Source organism: Homo sapiens, chromosome 6 (assembly GCF_000001405.40).
Source record: "Homo sapiens chromosome 6, GRCh38.p14 Primary Assembly".
In the NCBI taxonomy this organism is placed as follows: Eukaryota; Metazoa; Chordata; class Mammalia; order Primates; family Hominidae; genus Homo; species Homo sapiens.
The window spans coordinates 99,398,050-99,412,321 of NC_000006.12; the positions used below are offsets into that span (position 1 = coordinate 99,398,050).

Here is a 14,272-nt window from a genome sequence, read left to right on the forward strand (position 1 = left end):
GAGATTCCACACCAATTTTTATTTATATTTTGGGGCCTGAAACAAATCTTATAATCACCTCTTTCAAATTACATTTTATTCCCTTAATGGTGTGGTTTACCCCCACTCCACAAAAACAATTATGACTAATACACTAGAAATATTTTTTAATAGAACCTCTTAAACAAGACATTTTCATTAACCAATCCAGACCAAGGATTGTCTCAAAAATTTGATCTGTTAATTTTCTGGTGGTATTATTTTAGAAAAGATTTCATAACCAAATTATACATCTAATTAACTTATGTGTAAGTTTTTGCATTCACATCCTAAATCATGGAAACCCTACCTTATAAAACCTTACCACTCAAGGTAAATAAATACTATATCACATGTCAAGAAAATAAAGAATTCTCTAAATCTGCCACTAAAAGTCTGAAAAACCCAAATATCAAATTATAACACTGGTTTATGTACTAATAATCACAAATATCATGACGGCTTTTAAAAAAACTACAGACTTAACTGATAAGCTTGCAAATTACGGCAGAGTAAATAAAACTGTCAAATACTACTTTTGGCTCTAGTTCATAACTTGCCCAAAAATGTGCATATCATAGCCAACAGAATTTTTCTGTAGAATTTTATTTTGAAAATATTTCACTTCAAGATTGATCTAAAAAACATTTTAAGATATGAAAATGTTATACAACTTATCTATTACAAATTAATCAGATAATTCTGCAATTAGGTACACTGTGTTAGCTCGCCTACATAAAAAATATTGCACATTTTATTTTGTCTCCAGATGTGATCGATGTCTAAACTATATAGAATTTCAAACTATTTTAAAGTTATTCTGTGAAATGTCATCTTTATAAATATCAGAACTAAATGCACTGTAAACAGCCATTTTGGTAAACATGCATTTATTCACAGTTGATTTATTTCCTTTAGATAAATGTGTAACTGCTCAAAATTATATAATAATCTATGTAGAGGTACAAGAGCACACTATACAAATCTATTTCTATCTTCATGTTGAGGAAACACTGATCTTGGCAAAAATCTGGCATGATTTTTAAAATGAACTATTGCTGGTAAGAAGGCATACTTTAAAACTTTTCTGTGGCCTGCACCTGTTTTCTTTTTAAATTAAAATGTAAAAGCATTTGTTTTCAGAGATTCATTTATCACTGAGTAAGTGATTACATAAAAAAATGGACCCTAAAGCAACTGAGTTAAAATGCTTTGAGAGCCCCATTCTACTTGTAAGTTATCAATGCCTTAAACTGTTAGACCACTCACTAATCATAATTTTAAGAAACGGACAAAATCAGACAATTTTAATGTCAGGAAATTGACACAAACCTGCATAATACAGCATTCCTCCATTGATTTGAGGTCATATTATACTTTAAAAATATAAATAAATATATTGAATCATGAGTCTTATTTCTATAACCCCAAAAAGTGTTTCAAAATGCTTCTAAAACAGAAGTGGGTGACTGTAGAATATAGTTCCAGACTTGACTATTACTGTCAAACACAATCGTTCCTTACAAATAACTCTACTGGTGCACTGGCTTGATTGATTCCAGCAATTTCATTTTACAGGAGTGAACCACACGTTATACACACAGAGAATATATTACTTGAAAATCCCCAAAATAGGAAGAAAAGTTTAGAAAGTTGTCAAATACTTCCAAATGAAAAGTAAAGGTCTATTTCTAGCCCTCTTTCATACCCTTAAAGTTGGAATCTGGCAAAAGTCCATGGGTACAATTTACAAACTTTGACAAACTATTAAGTAAAAACCATTTTCTTTGGGGGAGGTGAGAGAAGGTACCTTTAAAACCTGTTATACAAAATTCCAGCTGCCTTTTTATAAAAGTACGTTCCTTAGATTAAAACCATAAAATTAAGGTGCAAGAGTTTAACAAAAATGAACTAAAGAGCTTTATTGACATCACAGTACATTCAAGAATAATTTTAAGAACATTACAGCTGAAAGAGAATGGCATGTTTATAGTCTTATTATGCACTATATTTTTTGAAAAAAACGTAATACAAAGAAATCCTATTAAGTAACTTGGAGCAGCATTGGAAAAAGTACACCTATTTACAGATTAAAAAAAAAAAAGATTCTGGTTTCACCTACACAGCCACAATGTGCCTCTATAATGAGACAAGCCCTTAAAACTCATGGAATTTTTTTAAAGAACATCATGGCATTCTTGCCACATCATTCCTCAGCGTTTACGACGGGGAGGGGTTGTTGATCTGAAAAAAAAGGGAAAAGACAAAATTTAAAAATAAAAATGTATTTTAAATTAAAAATCTGCAATTTTAAATAAATAATATTATATAGGATTTCTAACATTTAAGACTATGATTATTTATCAAGTACCAAACTGAGTTTATTAAAGAGAGAGAGAAAGGACACTTTCAACTTTGAATAAATTCAGTCAATTTTTTTTAAAAATCAGACAAAATACTTTAAAAAGTATACTACCTTGATCGGGACTTAGACTTGTGTTTGCGGCTTGCCTTCTTACCAGACCTTTGAGATTTCTCCACGGATCGCGATCGACTATGTTTAGGCTTCTTAGCCTTCTTTTCTTTGCTACTTCCTGGAGACTCAGAACTGCTCCTTCCACTAGAATCAGAGCCTGAATGTTTTTTACTATCTTTGGTAGTACTTTTCTTACTATCCTGTCTAGAATCATGTCTTATGATTTTAACAGATATAGAACCACTCCTAGAAAATGTTCTTTCACTTTCTCGTTTCCTTTTTAATCTATCATCCTGACTACTGAACTTAAAATCTTTTTCTTCCCTTTTTTGTTTCTCTTTTCTTTTATCCTGTTCACGTTCCCTTTCTTTGTCTTTCTTTTTCCTATCTTTATCTATACTTCGACTCCTCTCCTTTTTCCTCTCTTGTTCTTTAGCCTCACCTTTATGCTTATGACTGTTCCCACTAAGATTTCCACGTTGATCATCAATTTTACGCCTATCTCGACTCCTACTGCGACTGGCACGATTGGTTCGTCTATCCCTTGAGCGACTTCTACTTCTACGTCTCTCTCGGGAAGGACTCCGATTTCGTCGTCTTTCTCTTTCAATGCTATTTCTATTAGATCTCCTTCTATCTCTAATCTTTACCCTAGCCCTATTGCTCTCTATTTTAATTCTGCGAGAATAGCTTCTACTCCTGCTACGTCTAGCTTTGATTGTTGGAGATCTACTCCTACTGTGTCTCTTTTTCCTTTTAGGAGAAGAAGACCGAGAAGAAGTACGACTACTACCTGAGCTAGAACTGTATGAAGAGCTAGAGACAGTACTACTAGTACTACTAGTTCTGCTATTGCTACTGGAACTACCACTACTAGAACTTCCCGACCTACTCCTTCCTTGTTTTTCTTTTTCTTTATGCTCTTTTTTTGGTTCTAAAACTGATGTGGTTTCATTTGGAGTTCTCTTCTTTTCATTAACCACATCACCGTCTGCTTCTCTTGCTTCTAGTAGTGATAAACTATTTTGCTCTTTATGGATAAATTCATTCATCTCTTTTGTAACCCTTTCTGTTTGCTGCTTTTCTTCTGAAACAGAAAAAGACAAAAACACTAAGAAAATGTTCATGTAAAATTCTCATACTACCAAATGTCAAGCTACCAGACTGTAACAATAGAACACCATTTTCAATAGAATTACGATGCAAGCCATGTAAGTAATTCAAAATTTTTTAGTAACCACATTAAAAAAGTAAAAAGAAACAGGTAAAATAACCCAATATACCAAAAATATTATCATTTCAACACATAATAAATTTAAAAAAATTCTGTTCTCTTTTTCAAGTAAAGTTTTTGAAATCTAGCATGTAATTTATACCCACAGCACATGCCTAGCCACATTTCAAGTTCTCTATAGCTTGTAGTTAGTTACGTTACCCTCCTGGACAGTGTAGCAAAATACAGTATCAAGATGTAGAGGTGGGTGTGAGGCAAGTAGGAAAAGACTTCCCTTTTGTCCAACTAAAGCAAAATTTTAAAGGTAAGTAAGTGGTTTATAGAGAAGTCTTAGCTGCTAACTCTTAATTACCTTAGATTTTTCAAAGAAGAAATTCTAAGTAAATTTTCTCTTTTGTTATTCCTAGTATTAGGTAAAGTATCTTAAGTAAAAAACTTCTAGGTTCTCTATTATCCTTATATATCCTAGCTACAAATTACTTTTCAATAGTCTTACAAATATATTTTTCCCATTTCAAAAGTCATCTTTTTCATTTCAAGACTTTTAGCAAGAAATAAAAATACCCTAAATAGCTTGGCTTATAGCCACTGCAATAAATGGCTCCTAAAACAACCAAACAAAAATTGTGACTTTAGTTTCAGTTATATCACATATTATTTATAATATAGCCTTTATTTTATCCTTTGATATTTTTAGGTTAGTTAAAAAATAAAAAGAAATACAAAACTGGACCAAAATTAAGTCTAAAAGGTATACTACACCTTCCATCTGTTTATCATGTAATAGCTGCTGTTCTTTTTCTTTTCTCCAAAAAGCTTCCTGTTTTTGCCGGATTCGATGCCGTAATTCTTCATCATCAGTGTCAGATGACTCAGATCCTCTGTCACTCCTCTCATCTTCACTGTCTCCTGATCCATAACCACCCAGTCCACCTGTGTGCATAAAGCTCAGTCTATCATATGAAAAAAATTATACTATGCACTAAAAACTTTTCAAGGTCTGAGAAGAAAGTTCATTTCTTTTTTCATTGCCTTTTCCCAGAAGAATACGCTTATTCGGGGTGGGGAGAAGTATACATTCAAACGCTTAAGGAGTTCACAGAACCTTCAGGCAAAGGTTACTTAATATCTTATTCTTTCTGGACTATTTCATATTTTTCTCACTGTAAAGGAATGATAATGGGTTTGCTGTACTGTCCATACTAACCAACAAAACTACTTAACAGGGCAGTAACAAAGCCACGCTAAAGCTTAATGATGACCCTGAAAGTATTTCTAAAATTAACTTTTATTGTTCAAAGTTTAGAAATCCCTAGAGCTAAGCAATTTTTCCCTAAAAAAATTAGAATACTATAATCTCCCTGGTACAGAAATATTATGGTGCTGAAAATACTCCCCACCCTGAAATGATCTAAATAACCATAACAAAACCACATGGGCATTTGGTTCTACCCACTTCTCTGGGTCCTCACAAAAATTAATTTGAAATGAAGATGTGGAAAAGGCAAATTCAAGCTTTTACAGCCTTGATAATATACCATGCAAATAGTAAATTATGAACACATCACTACTATTTTACTATGATAAGATAAACCCTTTCCTCTATATTAAAACTTGACTTGCCGCAACACAATCTATGTAAGTTATTAAAAGCATTAGTGGATAGGTTCTTCCCTAAGGCATGTATGCAATAATTCTGAAAGTGAGCTTAGATACTATCATGGCTAAATTATGAATTATTAAGTACAAACTATAGGTGTTCATATATAATTATATATATATAAAATGCATATATTGGAGCAATAAGGAAATCTTCCAATATAACCTGCCCCAATAAACTATGAATTAACCATCACATTTATAAATTTCTCACTGTGAATGCGTTAGTCAAAAAAATAGGCAAACCTTTTTAGACAGGATGACATAACCCTAAGACCTAGGTTTTTATAAACTGAGTAGGACTAATACAGTTTCAAAATAGAACACGCAGAGAGACAATGTATGTGTGATTTTTCCCTTTAGGCCCTCTCACAAATATGGAAAACACTTACCGAGTCCAGTGAGGGAAGCCAGTGCACTGGACTGTGCCAGCTGTTTTGCAGGAGCTTTGTATCACATCAACAACAGGAACAACATGTTAACACAAATAGCCACGATTTCATAGTCATGAGTCTATGGTATTGTTAAATCTACTACTATTGCTGCTTTTTGGGGAGAGAAGAAACATTAAAAACATAACATTCATTTTAAACCAGTATCATGTCTGGCTTTGAAATTATAACTCTGATGTGAGCTGAAATTGGTTTATAATGAGAAAAAATGTTGACAGGTATATCTGTATGTCTACTTCTGAGATTATGACATGTAACTTAATTTTTGTTTTCAATACATTTTTAAGGTGTTACTAAAAATCTAGGGGTAGGAAATCACTTGCTTCTGTAAGAGATAAGTGGTAAACTAAAAATTGTAGGTAGATAATTCAAAATTCATTAGTCAAAATAAACTGTATCAGAAGTCACACAACAATGCCATGTTATCTATTAAAAAAAATCAGGTGAAATAAACTGAACACCTGGAATTTTCCACAATACATTTTAGAGGAAAACAGCATGATTGCTAATTTGTACTCATGTAGGTCAGATAAAACAAAAATATTTGTATAGCTTTAATATGGTGTCTACGAATCTAATCTTTAAGAGTTAAAACATGCAAGAGAATATTCAAATATCTGGTAGAAATCCAACAAGGACAACAAAAAAAGGCCAAAATAGTCATCAGAACCAAAATACCCCAGGAAAAGCAAAACCAGAAACACCAAAATATACCTTTCGTTGCTTTGCGGTGTGCATCTTTGGCTACGTAATAAATTTCTTCATCTGTGACATCCAGCAGAATTTCTGTTAGAAGCATTTTTGTCAGCAACATCTAAAAAAGAGCATTTTATACAGTATTTCTAATTATTATAGCTACTAATAGTGTGACATCTTCAAAAATATTAAAATGCAAAGCCATTTTTTTTTTCAGACAGTCTCACTCTGTTGCCCAGGCTGGATCATACTGGCGTGATATTGGCTCACTGCAACCCCTACCTCCTGGGTTCAAGTGATTCTCTTGCCTCAGTCTCCCAAGTGGCTGGAACTACAGGCGTGCACCACCACACCCAGCTAATTTTTGTATTTTCAGTAGAGATGGGGTTTCACCATGTTGGCCAGGCTTGTCTTAAACTCCTGATCTCAAGTGATCTGCCTGCCTTGGCCTCCCAAAGCACTGGGATTACAGGCGTGAGCCACCGTGCCCAGCCACAAAACCATTTTATAAAATATTTTTAGACATCAGAGCAGCCATTTCAAGGAATAAAGTATCTTGAACATTTTTCTGTAACATCAAAACTTCAACAAAATTCCAGGCTGGGTGCAGTGGCTCACACCTGTAATCCCAGCACTTTGGGAGGCCGAGGTGGGCGGATCACCTGAGGTCAGGTGTTCGACACCAGCCTGAACAACATGGCGAAACCTTGTCTCTACTGAAAAAATACAAAAATTAGCCAGGCATGGTGGTGGGCACCTGCAATCCCAACTACTCGGGAGGCAGAGGCAGGAGAACTGCTTGAACTCAGGAGGCAGAGGTTGCAGTGAGCCAAGATCCTGCCATTGCACTCCAGCCTGGGCAACAGAGCGAGACTCCATCTCCATAAATAAATAAATAAATATTCCGAAATCATACGGATCAAAGAAAAAAATATTATAAATGTATCTGTATAGTAGACACACTGAATTCAAAACACTTTTTTCTTTCTTTTTTTTCCGAGACAGGGTCTCACTCTGTCACCCAGGATGGAACGCAGTGGCACCACCTCGGCTCACTGCAACCTCTGCTTCCCAGGCTCAAACAATCCTCCCACCACAACTTCCTGAGTTGCTGGGACTGCAGGTGCACCTCACTATGCCCGGCTAATTTTTTGTAGAGACAAGGTCTCACTGCAGTGCCCAGGTTGGTCTTGAACTCCTGGACTCAAGCAATCCTCCTGCCTTGGTCCCCTGAAGTACTAGGATTACCCCAGCCTGAAATCAAAACATTTAAAAAAGTCCCTATTAATAAAGGTTTCTATAATTGTTTTAAGTTAAAAGGAGTATCTCTTCAATTAATAATACTGGTCAGCAGTTCTAGTTTCTGTTTTTTCCTCTAATATTGTCTCCAAAAAAAATTGCAAACGAAATAAATCCATGTACATAGTAAGAACTTTAACATTCTACCATTTGATACTCTTTCTCCTCTTCAGTCATCTCAGGGTCACTGTGCTCTTCTTGAGGAACTGGGGATGGACTTCTGGTGACTTTCCCACTACTTGCAGCCTCAACATTTTCAGTGTCTTCTTCTTCCTCATCACTATCCTATAAAAAACAATAGTATGGTAGTCCAAATTCATGTGTATAATGTAAAATCCTTATCTTACATACAGAAAATCTTAAACCCCAAATTAAAAAGTCTATGAAACAGAAATATGAGTGAAACTGCTATCTAAATTACATTTACTACAGATTTCATTTGATAATTTAAAAAGTATAACCTGGGAAAAATGTAAGATTACAAGAAGGCTTAGGAAAATAAATTGTTTTTTCAATTTTACTTTTCCCTTAGTCAATTTTAACCTTATTTTATAAATACCCAGAAAAACATAATGCCCAGAGACTGATTTAATTACTATCTATTACATATAATGGGCCTGAAATGAGACACTTATAGAACTTTGGATAAATGGACCATAGACATATTATTCAGTATAACTTTTACAGCTATATATTTAAGCTATTTACCTAAAGTTGCACGACTTAAAATGAAAAATCTCTAATCAGATTTTTCAGGGCCAAGATCTCAGCTGGCCCTGAAACTCAGTAAAACATGCTTCTTTTTAGCTCATAATAAAAAGATAAAAATGAGGTCTACTTCAGATTAAACAAATGCCAGCAGTTTGTCTCCTGTCTTTGTATGGTTTTAGGTTTCAGGATCCAGATTGCATGTGACCCTTTCCTTTGTCAGAGAAGTGTCCCCTAGTCACTTTTAATAATCCCACTAAGTAAAAGACAAGATGACCACCTAAATACTACTGTGGAAAGACTACCTGAACCAGGGGAAAAATATATGTAACACAATCCCACAGGCATTTGGGAGAAAAGAGGAAGGAAAATTTCCAAACAATTTTTGATGCTTAAAAAAAATTTGGAACACCACTATTTCATGTAAAGATTTTTTTTTAAAAAAAGACTGGACAGAGTGGCTAATGTCTGTAATCCCAGCACTTTGGGGGGCCGAGGTGGGAGAATCATTTGAAGCCAGGAGTTCAAGACCAGCCTGGGCAACACGGTGAAACCCCGTCTCTACGAAAAATACAAAAATTAGGTGGGAGTCGTGGTGTGCGCCTGTAGCCCTAGCTACTTGGAAGGCTGAGGTGAGAGGATTGCTTGAGTCCAGGAGTTCAAGGCTACGCTGAGCTATGATTGTGCAACTGCACTCCAGCCTGGGCAACAGAGTGAGACCCTGATCCCCCAACTGCCTAAAAAGACAAAAAAAAAAAAAAAGAGTAACCTTTAGCAGTGTCTTTCTGTTGCTTCTTATTTTTGTTATTTAACATCTAGAATAAAAACACAGATTTTGCATAGATCTTTTGGGAAAAATAAAAGTAATTTATGGAATTGAAGCAAAACTAATACCTGCCAAAATCTAGTTATTTTGCTCTTCTTGAGACTTATTTCTAAAGCAGAAAATGGCCGTGCAAGACAGACAAATTTCCTGAGTTGCATACTGGCCAGTGCTGTGGCTATCATACCTGCTGAATAAAAAAGTTCCTAAACCACTCAAGCCATCTAACTGAGGAAGATTTGAAGACTTAAAATGTTGTTATACTTCCAGTGCTCACGTCAAAAACAATCAAAATTATTACATCCTCAGGTATATGTTTAAATGTTCAAAAGAGGGAGATTTTATTTCTCTATTACTATTTTAATGTAGCTTTGTTTTATAATCTATCACCAGGGAGTCATCTGTACCACAATGAATGAATACAGATTGTTTATCAAGATCTAGCCAGCTCTCTGGAATGAAGTGTTTATAAACTTGTTGTCCCATTTTCTCCTTACTGTATCTTCAGTAACACATATATAAAATCAGAATCCTCAATATACTTAATGAACGTAATCTTAGGAACATCACTCTAATACTTTCCTATAGGCTAAAATATCTATTTCAGTAAAGTTTTCACACAACCAAGATTTTCACATGGAGTTTCATGTTGGGGATTCTACTTACAAATTTACTTCTCTGAGGTAAACGAGGGCCATCCCCTCCTTCAGCATCTTCTGTGGCCTTTTTTTCTTTTTTGGACAATTGTGAACGTTGTTGTTCCATTCTTTCTTTCTCCAATTTCTTCTGCTTTTCACGTTCCATTTTTTCAAGACCTTCGCGAATCCAAGCGGGAAGAGTCCTGCGTTTTACTGCGTCTGTTTCACGTGGGAAAAATATACGCAAGTCAGTTAAGTAAAATATTTCTACAAACTTGTGAGTAAATTTAAAAAATATCCCATTAAATATCATGCCTTTCTTCAATGCCATCACTTTTAGTAACAGCAGGGACCACTGCTCTAGTGCTTACAATCTGCCAGGACACAATGAAAGCATGTTAAACCATCATCTAATTTAATCCTTACAAAAGCCCTCAGAGATCACTACTATTACTCCACTTTTTTCCACAGGTGAGGAAACTGAGACTCGAAAAAATTAAGTGATTTGCTAGTAAGTTAAAAAAGGAGTAAAGTTAGAATCTTCCTAAAATGTAAAAAGTAAAGATTTATTAACAAATGCTCCTGTCCATTAAATACTGAACAATTTAGAACTTTCCAGATATAAAGTGGCATAAATATGTATTTGTCACTTGAAATAGGCTGGCTCTATAATGTTATTTAAAAAATTGAAATTTTCTGCCAAAATACTTAAGGGAAGTGAAATAACCAGAGGAAAATTAATCTGACAGCAGTGCATCAGATGAACTAAGAGTGGACAGAGATTGAACAATTAGATTTAAAAGGAGAAGGGCTCATATATCTGTATAATGTACTGAAATGCCTACACTGAAGAAAATACCAACATGCTATGGCTAGCATAAATTTTCACTTCATCACAAAATCTGGAATTTAATGTAAAGGTTTAAATAAAATTATTTAAACCTTTTAATTTCAGACCAGTATCATTTTTGTAATTTTAAGCTTTATGACCATAAAAAATAAAGTGTCAATTCCTAACACATCAGAGATACTCAAACAATTTTAAGAAAACAAGACATCCTTTTTATATGATAAAAAAGTCATGCCAATTGTGGTCCACTAAACTAAGTTAAATAGCTACCAATTTGTGGAGGCTCCTGCTTCACAGGAAGTGCAATAGGTGAACGCTGACGATCCCTGAATGATGATGGCCTTTCTCTTCGATTCTGGGGAGGTGCTGGAGGTCCTGGAGGTCCTGGTTGCCAATAAGGAGGATGAAATCCACCTTGCGGTGGACCAAAAGCAGCCCCATGCTGAAAGAGTATTGCAGTTTATTTTTTCTTCAAATTAATACAATATACTCTCTGGGACACACGTGTGTTATGAACTGGGACAGTAGAAATCCATGTGTGCAGCACATCCAAGAATTCCATGGCTCTAATATCCACCGATACTTCTATGGTCCCAAGAACCTAGGCTTACTTGTCTTAAGATTTTCCGGCTATGTAAATGCAAAGAGGCTTCTAAAAGCCAGCTGATAAGCTACTTTCAAGAAGTATATGAAATTTTTCATTCTGAATCCATTTACAAGCTAATCCTACCAACACTAAGACATCAAATAGATACTAATTTCTCTTTAACTAGACATTTTTGTCAATTTCAACATCCTACTTACAGTGAACAAAAAGTGAACTAAACAACTTAAGCTGTTTCTATAATCTTGCAGATATATTCATTTATAAGCAAAGATAGAAGTTAATGAATCATTAAATATTTTCTGCAATTTTGCTATTTTCAGAGGCTTTTCTAGGCCAGCTGCCAATACAGCTCTTTGTCTTGTTTACATGGGATCTACCATGCAAAAGTAGGGTAAGCAGATGCTCCCTGCCATTATATTTCTTCAAACAACATAAAAACTGTTGTATCTGTATACCAAGTATACAAGTATCTGAATATTTATTAATGAGAGGATTACCATCTCAAGGTGAATACTAGATGTCCATTATCAAATCTACCCTAGAATTCATGAAATAATTCTTTCAAAATTTTAAATTATGATAGCAGTTTATAAGTTAATAATTGCAATCAGTTATTTCAAAATGACACCTAGCACTATAATTTAAGGGTAGACCCTGGCAGAGGGAATGAAGTAAATAAAGCCCAACATACAACACTATTCCCCACAGAGTTCTATGTCCCTAGGAATGAATTGGATGCTACAGAGGAAATTATATACAATTCCATTAACATGTCATGTCAGAATGGAAAAAAAATGACACTAGAAAAACAGTCATAATTCTACATAGCACAAGGAATTACACTTAGGAAAATGATCTATATTTTTTATTCATGTCTTAACCATGAGCTATATTCAATTACTGTGCATTCTCTAGTCTTTAACATTTAAATATACCATTTTGAAATATAAATTAGAAAATAAAACATCATATAGCTATTGCACTTATACATTTTTAATTTTTTCAAAAGTTTTCCGTAATGATCTTTTATACCATTTTCCTAATGAAATAAAAAAATCAGAAAACAAATTCTAATTATTTTAATACTCAAAAATTGATAACTGAGACAGAATGTGCTTATTTATACAAGTCTGAAAAGTGAAACACGTATCTTAGGTATTCTTGATGAGACACTTCCAAAGAATGGATTACGTGCACATCTACAATATTAAAGCAACAAAATATCTTTCACCTGATAGTCAAACTGGTTCACTGGCCCCACTGCAAAATTATCGGGTGGTCCACCAAAGTTGTGATTGTTCTGGTTAAATATATGCCTGTTGTCAGGGGCAAATTCCCCACTGTCCTGACTGTTGCTGTCTTCAGAAGGAGGAACAATGTCCATTGGGCCTGGTGTTGGTGGCATCCATGGCTGATCTGGAGGGGGGTGTGGGGGTTGCTGATGCATTCCCCATTCTATTTAAGATTTAGGCATAAAAACATTCAACAGGCGGTTATAACAAAATCAACACAGAATTTTAAGATCTCAAGAAAGATTTTTCAGTAAACATACAGATTTAAAAAACAACTTATGACTTCTTGGTCAAATTCCTTTTGTTTATCTTAAAAATAAGCAATGAACTAAACTGTCATATATAATTCAAAATGAGCTAACTCCACTCTAATTCATATCCTAACCAAATGCCCAAAGTTATTTTTAACAAATGTAACAAAATCCAAAGCACTATTTTTGTTGAATTTTTATATTTGTTTAGTAACAACACCACAAAAATAATACCTTGAGGTTTTATATAATTTCTTTCTTACACGAACACATTTATCCTCACAACATCCCTGTGAGGTAGGGAGAAATTAGGTATTATTTTTGCCAATTTCGGGAGGGAAAATCGAGGCACACAGAGGTAAATCACTTGCCCAGGGTCACAAAGTAGAGTAAAACTAAGGGGTAGGGATGCCCGCGGGAGTCATTTAAGAACTTAAACTTAGGAACTAAAACATTTTCAAATGTGGGGAAATTTCACTTTCAAGAAAGCTAGAAATGAACCACCTCACAGTATCAAAGACTAGAATATTTATGTTTTTAAAAGTAATCTGAATTCTCGTTTTTTTTGTTTGTTTGTTTTAAATGAGGGACTCATTCTGTCACCCAGGCTGGAGTGCAGTGGCGTGATCACAGCTCATTGCAGTCTCAATCCCCTAGGCTCAAGCAATCCTCCCACCTCAGCCTCCCAAGTAGCTGGGACTACAGGCATGCGCCTCTATGCCTGACTAAGTTTTAAGGTTTTTTTTTTTTTTTTTTTTGTAGAGACAGGGCCTTGCTATGTTGCCCAGGCTGGTCTCGACTGAGGTCTCCATTCTTATAAGGAGAAACAAAAAGTATTAATAGGGAAAGGAGGTTATGACTTCACCATCAGCATACCCAAATGAGAGGCTGATTCCTCCATAGTTTCAAGTGACTATTAAAAAGGAATAACACAAGCCATGGAAGACTGAATTAGCATCAAGAAATCTACATCATACTGTGAAATAAAACAAACAAAAAAGTAAAACACACAAAAACTTATGAAAGATCTTCACTATCTGAAAAAAAAAAAGGGAAGAAAAAGGTAGGCGGATGGTAGGGGCAGAGTATATTTGACAGACTAATTTGTCACACAGTGACACAATTTTTCTTTAATTAGAGGCTAGACATGTTTTACTCTGCCAGTGCTGCTTCTGAAAAGGCCAGAGGTTGCAATAGAGAGACAAAGAATGCTCTCTTCCCTAGATGCCAAGTGAGGTTTCCAGAGTGTTCCCAGCCCCTGTCAGCCTA

The 14,272-nt window shown here is 34.8% G+C and overlaps 1 protein-coding gene across 16 annotated transcripts in view, besides 1 other annotated feature; it reads right to left on the reverse strand.

Annotated features, from left to right (window-relative positions):
* Positions 1-14,272, reverse strand: part of PNISR (PNN interacting serine and arginine rich protein) — a 27,259-nt gene continuing 12,987 nt past the window's right edge. For 5 of the 16 annotated variants that reach the window (NM_001322408.2, NM_015491.3, NM_001322405.2 and 2 more), the window contains 8 exons: positions 12,692-12,915; positions 11,124-11,295; positions 10,032-10,222; positions 7,982-8,119; positions 6,554-6,653; positions 5,780-5,833; positions 4,491-4,661; positions 1-3,581 (listed from right to left, as the gene is read on the reverse strand). In NM_001322408.2, coding sequence (NP_001309337.1) covers positions 2,491-3,581; positions 4,491-4,661; positions 5,780-5,833; positions 6,554-6,653; positions 7,982-8,119; positions 10,032-10,222; positions 11,124-11,295; positions 12,692-12,915 — 2,141 coding nt within the window. In that variant the 3' untranslated portion in view covers positions 1-2,490. The other 11 variants (XM_005266912.5, NM_001322413.2, NM_001322412.2 and 8 more) reach the window with 6 other exon arrangements.
* Positions 3,946-5,145: an enhancer, noted in NCBI's record as "CDK7 strongly-dependent group 2 enhancer chr6:99849871-99851070 (GRCh37/hg19 assembly coordinates)". NCBI's record gives its function as "activates an origin of replication core promoter dependent on BRD2, BRD4, P300/CBP, MED14 and CDK7 cofactors, with strong dependence on CDK7, by STARR-seq in HCT116 cells {active_cell/tissue: HCT116}" and the evidence as "EXISTENCE:reporter gene assay evidence [ECO:0000049][PMID:35650434]".